Raw genomic sequence first — 21,148 nt, 5'->3', positions numbered from 1 at the left:
TAATAGGCCCCTCAAGCTTACCATGTTCAAAGCTGAGCTCCTGATATTTTCCCGCAAGCCTGTTCTTCCTGAAAATTTCTTGCTAGTTAATGTCCTCTTAAATTTTTAGCTGCTCAGTCCAAAATGTTGGTGTCATCATTGACTCCTGCCTTTCTCTCCTGTATTGAATTAAATCAATCCTACCAATTCTTTGAAATGTATCCAGAATTTGACCACTTGTCACGACATTCATTGCTCCCATCCTACCCCAAACCACCATCATCACTCACCTTGGATTACTAAAATGGCTTTCTGGCTGCCATTGAGATCCTGCTTTTGTCCTTCCTAACACCCACACCACATAGCCAGAATGGTCTGATGTAAGTCAGGTCTTGTCTCTTCTTGGCTCAAAACTCACCAATGGCTCCCAACTCAGAGTAGAAGCTGGTGTCCTTGACTTTAATGATCTGACCCAGTTACCTCTCAAAAATCATCTCCTTTCTAGTTGCCATGTTGTTCATCCTACTCCAGCTGCACTGGCCTCCTCACTATTCCTCTGATAGGGCAGGCATATTTCTGCCTCGGGACCTTTGTATGTTCTGTTTCTGCTGCCTGGAATGTTCTTTTCTCAGATATTCACAGGGGAGATCCTTCAACAACCTCAGATTTTTACTAAAAGTGGCCCCATTGAGGTCTTCCCTGGCCACTCTAAAATTTCATTACCTTACACAGTCCTTCATAGCCCCTTTCTCTTATGCAGGTACTTTTTTTCCTTAAAGATAACTAATTTTTAATTCCAAAAGAATTCTAGGCGCCAGCAGGATATTGGAGAAATAAGGTCCTTTGTAATAGATATTCCAATTGGTGGATTTGCTGGTGTAAAGGCACGATCACCTTCTGATGACTTGGCCATGTACTAATAGCCCTGTCCACCATCTGCTGGGGGGCGGGAGGAGGGGTCTTTAGACCGAGAAACCTGGCCCGTGGCACGTAGAGGGCTTGGCTGTCGTGTTAGTGTGCTGAGGCTGCTGCACAAATGTACCACAAACTGGGTGGCTTAAACAACAGAAATTTATTGTCTCATGCTTTAGGGGGCTAGAAATGTAAGGTCAGGGTGTTGGCAAGTTGATTCCTTCTGAGGGCTGAGGAAGAATCTAGCTTCTGGTGGTTTGCTGGTAACCTTTGGCATTCTTCAGCTTGTAGAAGCGTCACCCATCTCTGCCTTCATCTTCACATGGCATTCTCCCTGTGTATGTGTTTCCAAATATCTCCTTTTCATAAGGCCATGAGTCATATTGGATTAGGGACTCACTCCACTGTAGTATGACCTCATTTTAACTAGTTACATCTGCAACCACCAAGTTTTCAAATAAGGTCACATTCTGAGGTACTGGGGGTTAGGACTGCAACATATGAATTTTGGGAGGGACACAATTTAACCCATGACAGCTGCTGCCTTCACATCTCCACAGGGATGTCCAAGTGTTCCTGCAGGGGAACAAACGAAGAACAGCAGGAGGAGCTGTATGGAGCATAGAGATTGACTTAGCATTAGGAAGAATTTACATACTGGCTCCTTTGAGGGGAGGGGAGCACCCATTACAGCAAAAGAGCAGACACCAGATGACCATCTGGCAAGAATTTTGTGGAGCAGATTCATATCAGGAGGAGAGCTGTAAAATCCCTTTTAGCTCTGGAATCTGAAGTGACACCAGCTAGCAGGAATGCCTGGGTTTACCTGCAAGCCAAGCTAGTCTTCAAAGTATCTTGGCTCAAGATTATTGGGCTCATGGCCTCATTTTGTGGCTCAGTTGTCCTTGTGCCATCGGGCTTGACAACTTTGGTCCTTCGGGCTGACCTGCCGGATTCCCCAAAAAGGGCTCTGGAGAGCCCTAAGAAGCTGTGTGCTCCTGCATATTTTGCAAATATCAGGCACAGGATTTTAAACTGTGGGAAGATGCCAGGAAGCAGTCAAAAAATCTCCATGTGAATTCTTATTTGTGGGAGGAGTGGCTGCCACCTGACCTACCTTCATATACTGGTGGTGCATTAATAGGGGCTTTATTGATGGGGCTTGGGAGGCTGCGACTGAGCCCAGCATGCAGATTGTGAGGGCCTGGTGCAGCTGCCAGGAGACAGGGATGAGAGTACCAGCCTCAGTGGGCTCTGCTGCTTGGGGCATTTTGTCCCTTCTTTGTTCTTAGAGGCAAGTGTACAGGGAGAGGGCTCAGCACTTCAAAAACTGCTGCATGACCTCAGAGATTCCCACAGACTCCCTGGACTTTTTGTCATAGTCAGTCCAGTCTTTCTCCTGCAGAATGTCACCAAAGACTGTCTTTGACTTCGTGCCCTCAGCAAAAAACCCAGCCTAGGGCTGGAAATCAAATGGTTTGAAGCCCTGGCACTCAAACTCTATTATAGTTTTGAACTTCTCTCTGTCTTTGGCATTGTAAGATTTGATGCTGCCACTCAAAATCTCAGTGGAATTTCCTGTGTGCACAGCTTGCACTTCTGGACCATGAAGGAGCTGCCATGGCCCCACTTTAGTGCCACACTGTCCATCAGTTGGATGTAGTGCCACTTCTCTGAAATCTCGCTACCATTGCCACATTTCATTTTCAGGTACCACTGCAGTTACTTATTTATGCTTTATCCTTTGCGTGTAACACTAATATCTACATATTTTATTTTTATCTTGTTCATTATCTGCTATATTCTAAACTCCACAGGGAAAACAGTTTTTTCTCCTCTGTTTTGTCTGTTCCCTTTACTGCTATATCCCTAGCACTTAGAAAAGTACTGGGCACATGCTTGGTGCTCAGTACATTTTTATAAATGAATACTGGCCATGATTTGGAGGCTTCTGTCTGCTACACGTGAGCCCTGTAGTTGCTGGGTGTCACGGTGACTGGGAGGTGGAAACTTGTTGGGCAGTGGTATGAGCAGCCAGGTTGGTGGTGGGGACCCTTGAGAAGTTTGGGGCATCATCTATTCATCAACCGGCATAGAAGTACTGGTGTAAATTGGCCAAAAATCAGCTCTGGGGGCTTCAACAATTCCTGAGTTTTCCTACCTCTGCACCTTTGCTTAGGCCGTGCCTTTTATATGCCTCTTCTCCATAGGTTCCTAATAAAATTTCACTTACGTTCAAGATGTAGTTTACAATCCATTTACCTTCTTATATCACCCAAATCAGAATACACTTAAAGTTTTCTCCCAGCTTTATTAAGGCATATTTGACAAAGATTGTTTACATTTATGGTGTACAACATGATGTTTTGATAAATGTATACATTGTGAAAAGATTAAATGAAGCTAATTAACATATCCATCACTTCACATACTTAACATTTTTTTGTGGTGAGAACATTTGAGATCTAATCTCTTAGCAACTTTCACGTGTGCAATATGTTATTAACTGTAGTCAATATGTTGTACAATAGGTTTCCAGGACTTATTTATCCTGTGTAACCAAAACTTTGTACCCTTTGTACCTACCAGAACATGCTATATTTATCAAGGGAGACAATATTCATTCAGCTGTTAATTTGATAATTAATTAGTGTATTCACCAAACAAATATTTTCCTAGTGTTTGGAATATGCCAAGCACTAGACTATATGCATTCTACTTCTGAAGGTTTTTTTCTTAACTGTTCAAAGGAAAAAAAAAATCAAAGCAAAATGGAAGCCTCTAACTCGTCCTGCCTTGTTATCTTCCAGGAGCAGGACTAGGTCCACTTTATGATATACACTCCCTGGAACAGGGGAAATTTTAGGGAGAAAAAAACACAAATAACTAGAACCATTTTTTTCCATGTCATTTGGACAGAATAAAAACACCTTTTGGGGAGGTAAATTTAAATCATTTAGCTTCCAAAGTACAAACTGTGAGAAACTGAATAAGAATTATTTCATATTCTCTTAGTATTTTATTTGTTATTAATTTGTGTACATCCCAGTCCACAATAATTTAAAAGAACTTGAGAAAACATTTGAAATACAGATGATACAGAAGTGAAAGGCAAAAATAGAACAAGAAAACAGATTGAATAGGAGGTTAAAATTTGAAAAAAAAAATTAAAAATACAGGACATACAGGTGAACAAAATTGTTATAACTGAACACTAACTTTGGGATTGAATTGCCTAGTAGCCACAGTGAAAAAGTTTCTTTTCACAATTTTATACCTACAGGGAACTAATGATATCTGAGGAAAGGTCAGTGCAAATAAGTTCCCCACAGAATAATTCATCTTTCTTTTTCTTTTTTCTCAGGAGGAAATATATACTTTCTTTTTGGGAGAAGTTTCCCCGGCTATTAAATATATAAAAAAAGTTGAATACTTTGAAAATAAAACTGCAACAATTACTGTTAACTCTTAAGCTATTTATATTAAACTATTTAAGTCTTTGGTTGATTTCTATTAGCCTATAAGCATTTAGGCAACACATTTTTACTGGGTTTTGGTTATAAAATATGAATAGATATTTTAGCAATCCAATATGCAGTTCCTCATTATTTGATGTTATACAGTCACATTTATACAGTTTTCATGGTTGTGATGGCTAATTTTAGGTGTTGACTTTACCGAGTTATGGGATAATTAGAGGGCTGGTAAAGCATTCCTTCTGGGCATGTCTATAAGTTTCCAGAGGAATTTGACGCGTGAGTTGGTGAACTGAGTGGGGAAGACCCATCCTCATGTGGACAAGCACCATCCAGTTAGCTGGGGGCCCAGATAGAACAAAAAGTCAGAAAACCTCTCCCTTTTCCTCCTGTCCTTGGACATTAGAACTAGCTTCTTTGACCTTCAGCTGCTGAGACTTGCACCAGTGGTCCCCCTGGTTCCCAGGCTCTTCAGCCTCAGGCATGAGAGTTACACCATCAGCTTCTTGGTCTGGAGGCCTTTGGACTTGTACTGAGCTCTTCTACCAGTCTCTGTGGGTCTCCAGCTTGCAGGTGGTCTATCCTCAGCCTCCATAATCTCATGAGTTAATTATGCTAATAAATTCCCTCTCATATATTTACCTATCTCTGTGTCCTATTAGTTCTGTTTCTGTGGAGAACCCTGACCAATACAGATTTTAAGATCAAGAGTGAGGACTCTTGGCAGCATCCACATGCTGGCGCATGAGTGCATGAGCTATGGAGGCATGCCTGCCTCCCTCTAGATTTCAAAGGATGCTGCAGAGACCTGCCATGGGGCAGAACCACTGCAGAGAGTTCCACCAGAGGGCAATGCCTAGTGGAACCATTGGGGTAGGTGCCCAGAATTGTAGAGCAACCAGCGTGCAACACCAGCCTGGGAGGGCTGCAGGCTTGAGACTCCAACCCATGATAACTGCTGCATGAGCTGAGCCCAGCAAAACCTGGGGGAGGGGCTGGCCAAGGCCTTGGGGAACCAACCCTCCACCCCAGTGTTCTTAGAAGTCAGGACAGGGAATCAAAGGAGATTATTCTCAAGCCTTAGAATTTAGTGTTGTTTTTCCCATTGGGTTTTGTACTTACTTGGAACCTGTTTCCCCTTTCTTCTTTGCTGTTGCTCTCTTTTGGAATGGGAATCCTGTGCCTGTCCTGCCATTTTGGGATGTATCATTGCTGAAGTGAACTTAAGTCACCTGACTGAGGTAGTGTTTGTCAGTTTTCTCTGTTGTAAAGTTATTCTCGTGTTCTCCATTTCCATTTCCTTTTTTCCATATAGACTTCTCTTTGAAAGGAAGTCAATATGTGAAGCCCACACTGAAGGAGTGGGGAGTTATGATGCACCTCCCTGACAGCACAGTATTTACACAAACTATTTGGAATACTTTTATGTGGGATGTTTGTCCCTTCCCTCCCATTTATTTATGTATTCAATCAATTGTTTATTGATATCAATTTGAACTCATGGATATTTACTTTATACTTCAGGTTATAATCCAATACTACTCTACTTGTTTTGTTGCTCAAATTTTTTCACCTTTGGCCACTGGGAGCACTTTCAGTTGACTCTTGTGTCCCTTTGACATACTCCCATCATTGTGTGTGTGTGTGTGTGTTCTTCACACTTTCTTACTTTTTGACACAATAATGTACTCCAGGCTCATGTTGTATATTTCCTGCCCCAGTTCTAGAGTCAACCATTTCTCTAAGGAACACTGTTCCTTTTGTTAGAATAGTATTAAAAACCCAAATCACAATGATAGGTGTGTTTTTTGCTACTGGATATCATTGCTTCTAAGCCTTCTCAGCAGACAGAACAAGGATATATGTGTATATACGAACTCATATATATATATATCTATAAATGCTTATGTAACCATCTGATCTCTGTAAAGCTACCGTGAGTACTGATATCTTCAACTGTAATCCACTATCACATAAACCATTCTAGCCTCTTCTTTTTATTATTTTTTGTTTGTTTTTAAAATTTATTTTTAGTTCATTTTTTGTTTATTACATTTATCAGTTTCTGTTCTTCCACTTCGAAAAGTATTCTTGCTTACTTCCAAACTCCCACCCCAACAGTGAGAAAACTGGGTTGCCCCCGACCTTATATCCACTTATTTAATTGTTCAGTGCCATTATGCATATATAGCAGTATTAGAATTGTTAACCAATACTCCTCTGTGAAACAAATGTATTAGAGTACTGTACTTCAGAATAGTTTCTTTTCCCATTAGTCTTAGACTCCACTAATTTTCAAAGTTTCTTTGATCAATAACTCACCCCCACCTTTTCCTTCAGTGAGGTTGTTTCATCCATTTGCAATACAGTTAGATTGTCTTGTCATGTTCTGTATTTCATCCTGTAATCCCCCAACCTCCTAAACAATTTTTAAAAATTTACATACATTCATGTTCACTCTTTGTGTTGTAAAGTTCTATGAGTTTCCACAAATGCATGGTGTCATGTGTCCATCATTATAGTATGAAACAAAATAGTTTTATGGTGTAAAAATTCCACTCTACCTCACTTATTTAATTCTTCCTACCTCATGCTCCTCCCCTGTTCCTCCCCCTTATAGTCTGGCAATCACTTTTTAAAAATATTTTCTATAGATTTTTAAAATGACTTAAGCTGCTATAAATATTTACATACATCCTAAATATCTAGGAGTGTGATTGCCAGATATTATAGTAAGATTACATTTAGCTTTGTAGGAAACTGACACACTGTCTTCCAAAACGGATGCACTATTTTTTATTACCACCAGCAAAGAGTGAGAGTTCCTGTCGCTCTGCATCCTTGACAGTAATCTGTATTGTCATTTCTTTTAGGATTTTAGCCATTGTAATAGGTGTGCAGGGGTATGCGTGGTTTCTGACTAGAATTCCAATGTAATTCTTATTCTTCTATGGGTAAGGTATTTGTCCTCTCTTCTAGGTTCTTTCAAGATTTTCTCTTTGTCTTTGGTTTTCTGAAGTTTGAATATGATATATCTAGTTATACTGAAGTTTTGTTTGTTGCTTTAGTATTTATACTGGTTGGTGTTTTTTGAGCTTCCCAGATCTGTGGTTTGGTGTCTATCACTAATTTTGGAAAGTTCTCAGACATTACTTTACACATTTCATTTGCTCTCTTCTTTCTTCTTCTGGTATTCCAATCCATTTGCTACACCTTTTGAGATCTTCCACAGTTTTTGGATATTCTGTTATGGATTCTTCATTCTTTTTAATTTTGTTCTGTTTTACCTTTGCCTTTCGGTTTGGGAAGTTTCTATTATCATGTCTTCAAGCTTATTGATGCTCTTCTTGGCTGTGGTTAGTCTCCTGATAAGCCCATCAAAAACATTCTTCATTTCTGTCGTAATTTTTAAAGATTCTAGCATTTTCTTTTGGTTCCTTTCTAGAATTTTCATCTTTTTACTTACATTGTCCATTTTTACTTAAAAACATTAATCAAAATTTTTAATGTACAATACAGTATTGTTAACTGCTAATTTTAATGTACAATACAGTATTGTTAACAGCAGGCATGATGTGCCCACCTGTTCTTGCACGTTGTTTAATTTTGCCATTGGAGCCCTTAACATTAAATCATAGTTATTTTAAATTCCCTATCTGGTAATTCCAAAATCTATGTTATATCTGAGTCTGGTTCTGATGCTTGCTTTGTCTATTCAGACTGTGTTTTTTCCTAGAATGCTTTGTATTATTTTGTTGAGGATAGATATAATATATTGAGTGGTAGGAGCTGAGGTAAATACTACACTTTAACTTTGAGGTTATGTAAATCTGGCCAGAACTTGTGCCAAGTTTAATGTCTGTTACAGTTGTAGGTGCCAGAGGCTTTAAATTCCTTTATTATCCTTATTTTTGTTTGTTTTGTTGACTTTGGGCTTCCCTAAGTACCTCTTCTGAGGGAAAATCTGAATCTTGCAGTTGTTTCAGTTTTAATCTACTGTTATTATACTGGAGGCCTATTGCAGTGGTAGTAAGGTATGAGAGAGGGAACATATTCTATAATCTGATGATTAAATTTCAGTTTTTGGTGGGCCTGAGTTCCTGGGTGGTGACTGTGTTTCTTAGCCTTTTTACTTCCCTTAGGTGAGACAGTAATGCCAGAGGGGGCTGGAGTAGGAGAAATGCCTTGCTGCAAATGGGCAAATATATTTGTAAATAAATAAATAGCTATTATTTGAAACATGTTAAATTCTTACTAAAGATGAATAAATTCCCTAGCCAATACTGAACTATTTGAAGCTCCTCAACTGTTGTTGGCCCCTGTTTTTCAACCTTTTCCCTGTTCTTAATAAAGGACAGAAGGGAGAGGGCAAATTTTGGCACTACTCAGGGTTTGTTTGGTTTGGTGTTGACTCCTCTTCCTTGGTTGAGAAGTTCTGGTACAATAAAAAGATCAAGAGAATGCTTTGTGTAGGTCCTAATATTATCCTAGATTAAATCTGAAGATAGGATATGTCAACTGATATGCCCCAAACCACATGGTTAATCTATGATGTCGTGAACTCCAATCCAAGTTTTACAATTCCAGATGGGACGATCAGCCATCTTGGCTTGCAGGGGACTGAGGGTTTTCCTGGGACATAGCTAATCAAACCAGGAAGGCCCCAGGCAAAACAGGAAATGCCAGTCACCCTCATGGGGAATTAAAAACCCTTACTTAAAACCAATTTAAAAAGATAATATAAGATGATTAATTTTCCCCTTTGCACTTATTATTTGTGTGCTGATAATAAAACTTGCTTAGAGCATTCCTATAGATGTAACATGGCAGATTACAGGAGGAACAGTTTGCTGGCAAACAGTTTATACATTACTTCATTACTCATATCAGCGTCATCTGAGATTTCTATCTGTCTGACTAAACTAAATAATAAAACAGACAGAAGCTTCTCTTTTCATGGGAACTGCATAAGTGCTAAGCCTATCTGCCTACTGGCAACCTACGCTTGGGTGGGAGTTTGATGGCAGCTCTGAGTAAATCTTTCTCTACTTGAGATTTTAGCACCAGAATCAGGAGTGGGAGGAAACAGGATGGGGCTGAAGGGAAAGATCTTTGCATAGCCAGACTTGGGAACAGCTCATCCTGTCTCTACTGTAACCTCCACTGCAACTGGATTGTGTTTTCCTGAATGTAGTAATGGATTGAGGTCACTGACATGTTCTAGCACCAAAGACTACTTAATCATCAAAAAGCTTATATTCCCAGGCACCTCAAGAGGGGTCTGGGAGTGGTATTAAGGGTAGAGCTTCTGGCTATCCTAAGCTGGTTATGTGAGCCAGGTGCTCTGATATGGGACACCATCATCACCACAATTGTGGACCTGTGTGCCCCAGTTCTTACAACTGGGATTAAAGCCTCAATCCCACTACCCCAGTTACAGTTATTGTAATCACCTTGTCTCTTATTTTCCTCCAACCTGGGACTGAGGCATAGTGTTTTTCCAGGCAGTTCCCTCTTCAAAGGACAAAAATCTTGCCAGCGACCCCCACAAAATTGCTTAGGACCCTGTGTACAAGGACTGATACTACCTATCACTTGTAGACTGCCGCTTGAAATTCACCATCTCTTTGAGACCTCGTGGTCACAGACAATCTGCTTTAAATCTAGTTGGAGATGAGTCTATCTCGTAGGCACTATTTTGTATCCAGCCTGCTGAAATTGCAATGTTTTTTTGAAACTTCCCTCCCACTCTCCTGGTCAGAAGGTCCGGTTTGTGTCAGGCTAAATCCGGATGGGTGCTATATGGGTGAATGCACTGTCTGGGAAACTAGAGCACGGAAGAATGAAGTGGTGTCCTGGAATGTTGTCAAAGGTTGGTTACTTGGGCATCAATCCAAGGGCTTTAATGGAGAATCAGACCCAACAGATGGAAGCAAAATGGGAGCCAGGGAATCAGGGAATGGTGGTAATAGGACTAGTGGAACTGCCAAATGAGAGACAACTAGGAGGAATTGTGGAAGGGTTGGTGAGCAGACGGGCACTGCAGATTTATCCTGGGATGGCTCAGACTCATGAGGCATGTGGAATTTAGTTAAAGGGGATGTAATGAAATGACCACTGACCTGACCTAATAGGCATATCTATTGCCATATCCTGCACTTTTGTGGCAAATAGTCCTACTGTGAGGGAAGAGCAACATCTCCCCAGTAATTATAAAATTGTGATTCAAATATTCTCTTTGTAACCTGCCAATACTCTGATATTTGTTTCATCTAAATAGAGTTCTGTTATTGACCTTTACCTATGCTTATTTCAAATCTTTAGGGAATACCTATTTAGATGAATTTTTCCTCTAAGGCTAGATTCTGAGTAATTACTTAATGATCATGCAACTAACATGAGAAATACTCTAAAATAATAATTCTCATGTTAGAAAAAAAGAAATCGAGACTGCCTTAGGCAAGAACCCCTAATATTTCATGGTTTTACTTTCTGATGTTATGAATAACCATGGAAATTTTTGCTTGAATATTTTCCATGTTTGGAAAAGGAGTTTCCAACTTCTTAGGAGGTAAAGTAGCACCTCTGCTTCATAGCCATTAGACTTTGGGGGAGGTATTTGTTGATAAGAAAATTTTTTACTGAAAGATCATATATCTTGTGGCAACCTCTGTTCAGCTGGAAATATTACAAGGGTGTGTCCCTGGGGTGTGTGTTTGTGGGGGAGAAAGTTTGGCTGAAGGCTTTTCCCCAGCGAGCCATCATTTCAGGGACTAATCTCTACCACTTCGGAGAGAATATTCTGCTTATGTGGTCCCTGTTATTTTGAAAAAATGCCTCCGGGAGTCTCTGCTGCACCAGAGGAAGGAAGCTCTGATACGACACCTTCATTTATTGTTTCGAACTTTGCTAAAAAGTACCAAAGCACGGCTGGGCGCGTTGGCTCACGCCTGTAACCCCAGCACTTTGGTAGGCTGAGGCGGGCAGATCACGAGGTCAGGAGTTTGAGATCAGCCTGGCTAACATGGTGAAACCTGGTCTCTGCTAAAGATAACAAAAAATTAGCTGAGTGTGGTGGTGCGTGCCTGTAATCCCAGCTACTCAGGAGGCTGAGGCAGGAGAATTGCTTGAACCCAGGAGGCAGAGGTTGCAGTGAGTCGAGATTACGCCACTGCACTCCAGCCTGGGTGACAGGGCGAGACTCTGTCCCAAACAAACAACAAAAACAACAACAACAACAACAACAACAAAAATTACCAAAGCACAGCTTTTCAAAGCTCTCTCATTCAGGAACCCATTTCATTGAAATTAAAAAATGTTCTGAGATGCAGTTAATGTGTGTTTGCCCTTGTAGGACCAACATAAATCTAAGTCTTTTATGTGAAGAGATTCAGGTCCTTATAACTCACTTGGGGAATATGACAAATGGGATGGTGTGTGTGAATGTTGTTTTGATGGCTTAAGGGTGATGATCATATCTGGACACTTCTGAGAACTGTTGTTATGGCTCAATACCTTGCCTCCCTTCCTGTCATTTTTATCTATTTTTATAAACAAATAAAATAATTATTAAGAAAAAGGAACTTAATGAAACCTTTCGTCTTAAAATACATTATCCCATAACTAAGAGTTAATAGAATGAATCTAATCAGTCAGTTTGAAAGAGAGCTAACATCCCCTATAAAGATTATGCTATTGGACACTTACATGGTGTTTACTTTGAGACTGGTGCTGGTTTGAGCACTTTACATATGTTTACTCATCTAATTTTTATAACAGTCATTGAAGTAGTTGCTCTTATTATTCTAATTTCACAGATGAGGGAACTGAGGCTTGGAGGAGTTAAGCAAGGTTGGTGGTTGCACACACACAGCTGACACCAACTCACGGAGTCTTACTCTATAACCCTTTTAGGCAGTGTTAGAGGAACAAAATTGTTATTTGATCACAATGAGCTCAGGCCTTGATACAGTTTTCTGGTTTGTGTAAATCAACTCTGCATTTTCTCTGCACATTTAAAGTCAGACGATCAACCTTGGACAGGTTGTCTGTTAAAAGCCACACCAATGGGAATCATTAAAACAAATGACATTTAGGAGGATTACATTTACTGACTAAATATGCTTGGGCCTTAATAGCGCCAGTTTTGTTTAGTTCCCATCAACTTCTTGATCACGTGGATGTGCTTTTGTCAACCATTTTTGCACTTATTTTCCTCAGTGACTCTGATGACCTCTTCTCTTCGTTAATCAGCTTCTCATATTCTCATGACCTTACCAGAGTGCTGATGCTTGCAGCTGCAATAACAGAATGTGCTTCTAAATTATAATTCTCCCAACCCTGGACTCTGAATCTTCTCTTTTTCCTGTCAACAGTTGGTCCCCTCTACAAAGGCCCTGCTGTTTATTCTTCACTGGCACATGCCCTCTGCCACCTGAAATCTGTTGCTGGCCTTCTCACACTCTCTTTTCTTCTTTTAACTTCAAGGTCTTTCTAATTTGTCCTTTCTGCCTGTCCTTTGTTATTACTTATCACATCTCTCCTGGTCACCTTCACCCCTTCTTTGTTTGGGCCTCCTTCTTTATTTCTGGGTATCTCTTTCTTTCTATCAGACTCTGACCTTCTTCATGTATTATATTTAAGAACTAATCTTCCACCTTTTCTTTTGTTAAAGTAATTCTTAACCTTTTTTTAAAATCCCATTCACTAAAATAAGCTCATGAGTATTAATGTTTACATTAGGCCTTCCCTTCTCTGTCCCTTCTCTTCAAAATACCCAGCCTACTTAGAAGGGAGACATTTCCAATATAATAAAAACAATAGCTAACATTATCTGTGCCAGATGTAGAAGTCCACAATAGTCTTTACGACTTTGTCACAAGCATCATTATTATCTTCACATTACAGATGAGAAAGCTGAGGACCAGAGAGGGAAAGTAACTTCCTCAAGTCACACAAGATAGTTAAGTGGTGGAGCTAGGTTCTGAATGTGGATATGGTGATTCCAAAGTCTGTGATCTTAACCCCTGCACTTTACTGCTCTTTAAAGAGAGTAATCTGACTACATAGCCTCTGTCATTTCATTGCAATAAATATTTGAGTCTCTGCATCACTTAAGTAGATTGATCAGTATTGCCAAGTATGGAATTCTCTGCTTCTAAAAAATGAAGAGGCCTCTCAGCCAGTTTAGTTTATGATAGTTTATGTGCAATATAGTAACTTGTCCTTTATTTTGAAGGAAATGTCCCAATGTGCCTGAGACCAGTGAACTCCAAAGAACTTCATGGGTATAGCAGGCTCTAATATCCTTATAATGTTTATTTCCCTCACTCTGGGGAGTATGTTTCTTATTAAGACATCTAGAGTACTTGCCACTTTTTACTCATTGGGTCCAATTTACATGATGTCATCAATAGAGTATATTCATGTGATTTTCTGCAGAGTGTACAGATTGTTCATGCCCCTTCATATTGTGATAGAGGACATAGTTCTGCCTCAATAACGTTAATATTTACTTTATTTACTTGTCCACATCAAGTGAATGCAAAGTGCTTCTGATCTCCTTTCCTAATGGATATTGACTAGAACACATTTACTAAATCAATAGGCACGTGTGACATCCCTGGGACTTCATTCACATGCTTTAGTAAAAACACCAGATCTGGTACAGAAGCTGTAACTGGGACTAGTGCTGGTTATGTTTGTGTTAGTCCACTGTCATCTATCAGGATCCACCTGGTTTTTCCAAAAGCCAAACTAATGAATTAAATGTGTATAAACAGGGACCACCATTTCTCAGTCCTTTAAGCCTTTAACTATGGCAGTAGCCCATTCTCCTCAGATTTTTTTTGTATTCACTACCTCAACTAAATGGCTTCTGATATCAAACACTCAGAGAGTCTCTCTGTATTTTAATGGAAAATTGCTTAAGTATTAAATTAATATTTAAAGACTGAGCAAAAGATGTGATATTAATCCATTCTTTAAACAAATTGTTTTTCTATACCTATTAAAGCCTAGTGAAGAATTTTAAGAATTAACCATACTTAGAGGTGAGAGATCAATGAAAAACATAAGAAGATATAAAGAGAGATCAGGCAAATGAAAATATGGTGAAGAGCTTTAAAAGTCAAGAGGAAGTCTGCAAGCAGCATCCAGGAGTTGCTGGAGGGCCTTGATAAGGAAATATATTACCATTACTACTACGATTATAGTAATGTTTAACATTAATGAGCGCTTATTATGGGCTAGGCACTTTATTTACATTTTCTCAATCTTTACTTAATCCGATAAATTGAATTCCATTGCAGATCTCATTTTACAGCCAAGAATACTGAAGTTAAGAAATGTTAAGTAACTTACTCTAATTTAAATCTGGTTACTGGTGCTAATGTGGTTCAAATGCTCTAAATTGAGAGCTATTACCCCATGCTCACCACATCTCTATTGGTAGTAGTGATGTGTTCTGCTGGAGACTGTAGCAGTCTAAGTCTGTGGTGACTGGAGTGGGAGGGTAGGTCATTAAACGGGGGAGGAAGAAAGATGCAGGAATACATGTTAATACAGCCCCTTGAATGCCGGGGGTATTAGGCAATCAGCCTCCACCTGAAGATTATAAATGAGGAGTGAATAATTTTAGCGTTGAACCTGCTGAAGAAGATAAGGGCATAAGAGGAATTTGGTTACTAGAATTCCCATGTCCTACAAAGGGTTGTCAACATAACAATACTTTGTACACTTTGTAGATATGATGCAAAGAAATAAAAGGCATTTATGAGGATAGCCTCTTGAGAAGGCAGAGAAGGCTTATTACCATCTCTTTTTTCTGTTAGATATATTATAATCCCTCTGTTCCTTGCCCAAGCTACAAATTAATCATCTAATAGGGTTTTAACTTAACGTTTACTTGTTCAACAACAATGTACCATTTTTCTTTTGAAATAGGGATGGTTGAGGTGGTGTTTAAATGCAAACACACTGGTTAAAAATGTGGTTTTCACATAATATCAACATATACTACTGTTTGCTTTTTTAAAAGTAATTTTAAGAAGGCTACATTAAATAACAATGGAAATTAAATATATTACCCACAAACACCATACAATACATTGCTTAATATTTTACTTCCTCCCAGTTCTTGTTAATATGTACATTATTTCTACGTAATTATAATCAAAGCAGAAATATAATTTTGTTTTCTTTTTTCCATCATCCTATGAGCAATTTTCCATATAGCTATTTAGTTTTTTAAATTAACATTTTAATGGCTGTATTAACTCCATAGAGTTACTGTAGCAAAATGCATTTAACCATTTTCATATTGAACATTTAGTTTTTTCTAATTTAAAAAAATTTTTTAATTTTGGTGGGTATGTAGTAGGTGTATATATTTATAGGGTACATGAGATATTTTGATACAGGCATGCAATGCGTAATAGTCACATCAGGGTAAATGGGGTATCCATTACCTCAAGCATTTAGCCTTTGTGTTAGAAATAATCCAATTATACTCTTTTAGTTATTTAAAAATGTATAGTTAAATAAATTATTATTGACTGTAGTCACCCTGTTGTGCTACCAAATACTAGTTCTTATTCATTCTAACTATTTTTTGTACCCAATAACCACCCCACTTCCTCCCCACCCACTAATACCCTTCCTAGCCTCTGGGAACGATCCTTCCACTCTTTATCTTCATGAGTTCAATTGTTTTAATTTTTAGCTCCCACAAATAAGTGAGAACATGTGAGGTTTGTCTTTCTGTGCCTGGTTTATTTAACTTAACATAATGGTCTCCAGTTCCATCTATGTTGTGACAAATGACTGGCTCTCATTCTTTTTATGGCTGAATAGCACTCCATTGTGTATAGGTACCATATTTTCTTTCTCCATTCTTCTGTTGATGGACACTTAAGTTGCTTCCAAATCTTGGCAATTGTGAACAGTGCTGCAGTGAACCTGGGAGTGCAGTTATCTCTTCATTATACTGATTTCTTTTCTTTGGGGGTATATATCTAGCAGTGGGATTGCTGGATCATATAGTAGCTTTATTTTTAATTTTTTGAGGAACCTTCCAACTGTTCTCCATAGTGGTTGTACTAATGTACATTCCCATTAATAGTGTCCAAGGGTTCCCTTTTCTCCACATTCTCATCAGCATTTGTTATTGCCAGTCTTTTGGATATAAGCCATTTTAACTGAGGTGAGATGATATCTCATTTTAGTTTTGATTTCCATTTCTCTGATGATCGATGATGTTGAGCATCTTTTCCTATGCCTGTTTGTCATTTGTAGGTCTTCTTTTGAGATATGTCTATTCAGATTTTTTGCCCATTTTTTAAGTTGGATTATTAGATTTTTTTCCATAGAGTTTGAGCTCCTTATATATTCTGGTTATTAATCCCTTGTCATATGGGTAGATTGCAAATATTTTCTCCCAGTCTTTACTTTGTTGATTGTATCCTTTGCTGTGAAGATTTTTTTTTCTTTCTTTTCTTTTTTTTTTTGAGACGGAGTCTCACTCTGCTGCCCAGGCTGGAGTGCAGTGGCGTGATCTCGGCTCGCTGCAAGCTCCACCCCCCGGGTTCACGCCATTCTCCTGCCTCAGCCTCCCGAGCAGCTGGGACTTACAGGCACCCGCCACCACGCCCAGCTATTTTTTTTTTTTTTTGTATTTTTAGTAGAGACGGGGTTTCACCGTGTTAGCCAGGATGGTCTCGATCTCCTGACCTCGTGATCCGCCCGCCTCGGCCTCCCAAAAGTGCTGGGATTACAGGCGTGAGCCACTGCACCCCGCCCTGCTGTGAAGATGTTTTTTAACTTGATGTGATCCAGTTTGTCTATTTTTGCTTTGGTGGCTTCTGCTTGTGGGGTATTACTCAAGAAATCATTGCTCACTCCAGTGTCCCAAAGAGTTTCCCCAATGTTTTCTTATAGTAGTTTCATAGTTTGAAGTCTTAGATTTAAGTCTTTAATCCATTTTAATTTGATTTTCATATATGGTGAGAGATAGAGGTCTAGTTTTATTCTATTGCATATAGTTATACAGTTTTCTCAGCACCATTGATTGAAGAGACTATTTCCCCAAATGCATGTTCTTGGTATCTTTGTCAAAAATGAGCTCACTGTAGATGTATGGATTTGTTTTTGTGTTCTCTATTCTGTTACATTGGTCTATGGGGCTGTTTTTATGCCAGTACCATGTTGTTTTGGTTACTATAGTGCTATGGTATAATTTGAAGTCAGGTAACGTGATTCCTCCAATTTTATTCTTTTTGCTCAGCATAGAATTGGCTATCTGAGTCTTTCATGGTTTCATATAAATTTTAGGATTGCTTTTTCTATTTATGTGGAGAATGTCATTGGTGTTTTGATAGGGATTGCATTAAATCTGTAGATTGCTTTGGATATTATGGACATTTTAACAATATTGATTCTTCCAATCCATGAACATGGAACATCTTTCCATTTTTTGTGTCCTCTTCAATTTCTTTTATCAATGTTTTTATACTTTTCATTGTAGATATCTTTCATCTCTGGCTAAGTTAATTCCTAGGCATTTTTTAAATTTGTAGCTATTGTAAATGGGATTACTTTCTTGATTTATTTTTCACACTGTCTACTGATGGCATATAGAAATGCTACTGATTTTTGTATGTCGATTTAGTATACTGCAACTTTACTGAATTTGTTTATTAGTTCCAACAGTTTTTTGGTGACGTCTTCGGGTTTTCACAAATATAAGATCATTGTGTCTAGTTTTTTACTGGCATAAATAATGAACTACAAACAAATGGAACTTGAAGTCTCAATGCCCCGAGTTTGAGTCCTGACTTTGCTATTTACAAGGCATGGAATACTGAGTCAGGTACTTAGGTTCAGTAGCCAACAGTATAATGTACTCACAGATATCTGTTATGTTAGAAACCATGCTTGGTGCTGGGTACATAGTGGAGCACAAGAAAGATGTGGTTCTCTCTCTGCACAAGTACATAGGTAATAGGTTAGTATGGTCTATAGTGATCATAACAATAACATCTATCTCACATCATTATTGTGAGAAGTAAAAGAAATAACAATTAAACTGCTTAGCATAGTGCCTCATATAGTGTTTATATTACTTTTATTACTATAAACATTATTATCACTATAGTGCTCTTATTACTATATTATTTATGCTTAATACTTTCTTCAAAACTACTGGTTTTCAAATATTATGAATCTACTGGTTGCTTTTATTATGCATAATTTAGCATTTCTTGAAGCTGCCTTAAGGTAGATTGGTTTAAAAGCCCAGTATGGTGCACTTTAAATGACAGCTCTGAAGGAGACCACTGTTTTCATTTATTGAGTCCCATCTATGCACTGTCAGGCACTGTGCCAGGCACTAGGGGTCCAGGAGTACAGGCTGACCTCCATCCTTACCCAGCCACAAGCTAGGTGTTTCTTCAAGAAAACAAACACAATTACAATGGTCTCTGTTGTGTTTTACATAAAGCTACATCATCAATTTTCAGTGTTTCTATTCACAGGATATGCAAACCCTGACCTTGTACAGAAAAACCTAAAATCTGTTGTACTGGGACATCAGACTTTTAATAAAACAAATATACTCATTTTCTGAAGTTTACTTAAGTCTGCCTCACTTAATTATTATGATCATCTTGATGATGATGACTCCCTTGGGTCACTCTGTATAGTTATCATGTTGGTTTTAACTCCTACATTATGAGTCAGCATTGCCACTATTTAAAACCCCTGGAAAATTCAGCCTTTTAATGTAGCCAAGGTGACATTTAAATAGAACAATTTTATTACAGTATAAATTTTGTTCATTGGCTTTATTTCCTAATATGAAACTATATTCCAAAAATTAGTTACTAGGAGCCTGTGCAATTAATTTTTGCTTATGAATTTAATAACTTTTAAAAATTAAATCTGAACACAGATATCTGTGTAGTTTAGTGGAGATGCTTAAGCAGTGGGCTTGTACCATAAGCCATAGTCTGCATGGGAAAGTGGTCAAATGTAGTCTGATCCATGTGCCATTTGAGGAAAATAATGTATCTGTACCATTTGTCTTTTACCTCTCAGCCCATAGTTGTTTTGTGCATATTTATAGTGTTACAGTGTAATGTTTTGATATAATATGAACCCGGGAAACCATCATCACAGTCAAGATAATGAACATTTCCATCACTCTCAAATGTTTCCTTATATCCTTTTATAATCCTTCCTCCCCAATCTCCTTGCCTTTATCTTCATCTTCAAGCAACAACTGATGTGCTTTTTTTCATTCTAGATAAGTGTTTTGCTTTTAGAATTTTATATAAATTGAATCATATAATATGTACTCTCATTGCTTGGCATCTTTCACTCTGCAGTTATTTTGAGATGCATCCATATTGCACGTGTATCAATAGTCTATTCTTTAGATTCTTTTGATTCTTGAGTTTTAGTCCATTATATGAATATACTGAAATTTGTTTATCCATTACCTATTGATGGAGGTTTGATTTGTTTCCAGTTTCTGGTTATTGTACGTAAAGTTGCTCTGAACATCATGCATAAGCCTGTGTACTTTCATTTCTCTTGGGTAAACATCTCGGAGAGGAAGGACTAGGTCATGTGGTAGGTGAGCTTTTAAAATATATTCGAGCTTTTAAAATAACGAGGAACTGTTTCCTAAAGTGGGTGTACCACTTTACATTCCCACCAGCAGTATATTTTCATATTGAGGTTCAAATATTTGGCCCCTGCTTTAGAAAATTCTAGATATCTGAAATGAGAAATTTAGACTCTGTTAGGAAATCTCTATCCGTTAAATGCACATTTATCTTACCAGACTAAAGCTTGCTGAAAAAAAAGTGAGGATATTCCTGTACCCCCAACACAACATGAGAAAGATTTTCTTGATGTCTTAATTTTTGGGCTTATGTGAATTGATCTGTATAAGGACATTTATGGAATATCTAACTATGCTTTCTTTTTTAACTTATTGAGAGATGAAAGAAGTGGATTTCCTCACATTTCTTTTCTTTGATGCTTCCTCAGGCATTCCTAAAGGGTATTCAACAGAGGAGGAGCATCAAAGTTGGCAATTAGTGTTTTGATCAAGCCAGCATGCCACATTTCATTATTCAGCTTGCATCAGATACGTTAACCTTTGAAAGGATTTTTTTTTCTACTTGAAGACCAAAGGATTTTCTTTCATATATAGTAATCTTACTCAACCAATAAGGTATTTTGTTGATGACTTTTTGTAAAGACCAATGAATAAGACACTTGACAAAGGTCAACAATAGTTGAGTGTCCAGGAAAACTCTTGGAACACTTCGATTCTGTGCTTCTCATCAAGCTTTCTCCAGCGCCTAGAACAGTGCTTGACATACAGTAGGACTTCAGAAGCTAGTTACTGAAGGAATACTATAAATATATGAGAGTCCTTGTATCATATTCTTGTCTTCTGTCCCTAAAACAAAGATATATCTTTGTTTTTAAAAAATAGAGCACCTTTCATTTCCATGTTTGCCGAAAACATTTGTTTTAAAATACTAAGAATAGAGAGAACTTAATTTATTGACATGGAGCTATATGACAATACTGTTTGAGCTTGTTGCATGAACACTGGATCTCATTTTTGATATGGTCAGAAATAATGTATTCCCTTTTCCTCCATTAAAAAAAAATAACAGACAAGCGAAAAATGATCACCCAAGTTTCTTTCTGAATGTTCAGTGAGCACACTGGGAATGACCGCAAGAAACACTTCAGAGAAAAAC

The 21,148-nt window shown here is 38.3% G+C and overlaps 1 pseudogene; it reads right to left on the bottom strand.

Annotated features, from left to right (window-relative positions):
* Positions 1-2,197: 2,197 nt before the first annotated feature.
* LOC124904580 (CXXC motif containing zinc binding protein-like) lies at positions 2,198-2,595 on the bottom strand (annotated as a pseudogene).
* Positions 2,596-21,148: the final 18,553 nt, after the last annotated feature.

This window comes from Homo sapiens, chromosome 1 (assembly GCF_000001405.40).
Source record: "Homo sapiens chromosome 1, GRCh38.p14 Primary Assembly".
NCBI classification, from domain to species: domain Eukaryota; kingdom Metazoa; phylum Chordata; class Mammalia; order Primates; family Hominidae; genus Homo; species Homo sapiens.
The sequence above is the reverse complement of the archived record's forward strand: the minus strand, read 5'-3'. Positions and strand labels throughout refer to the sequence as shown.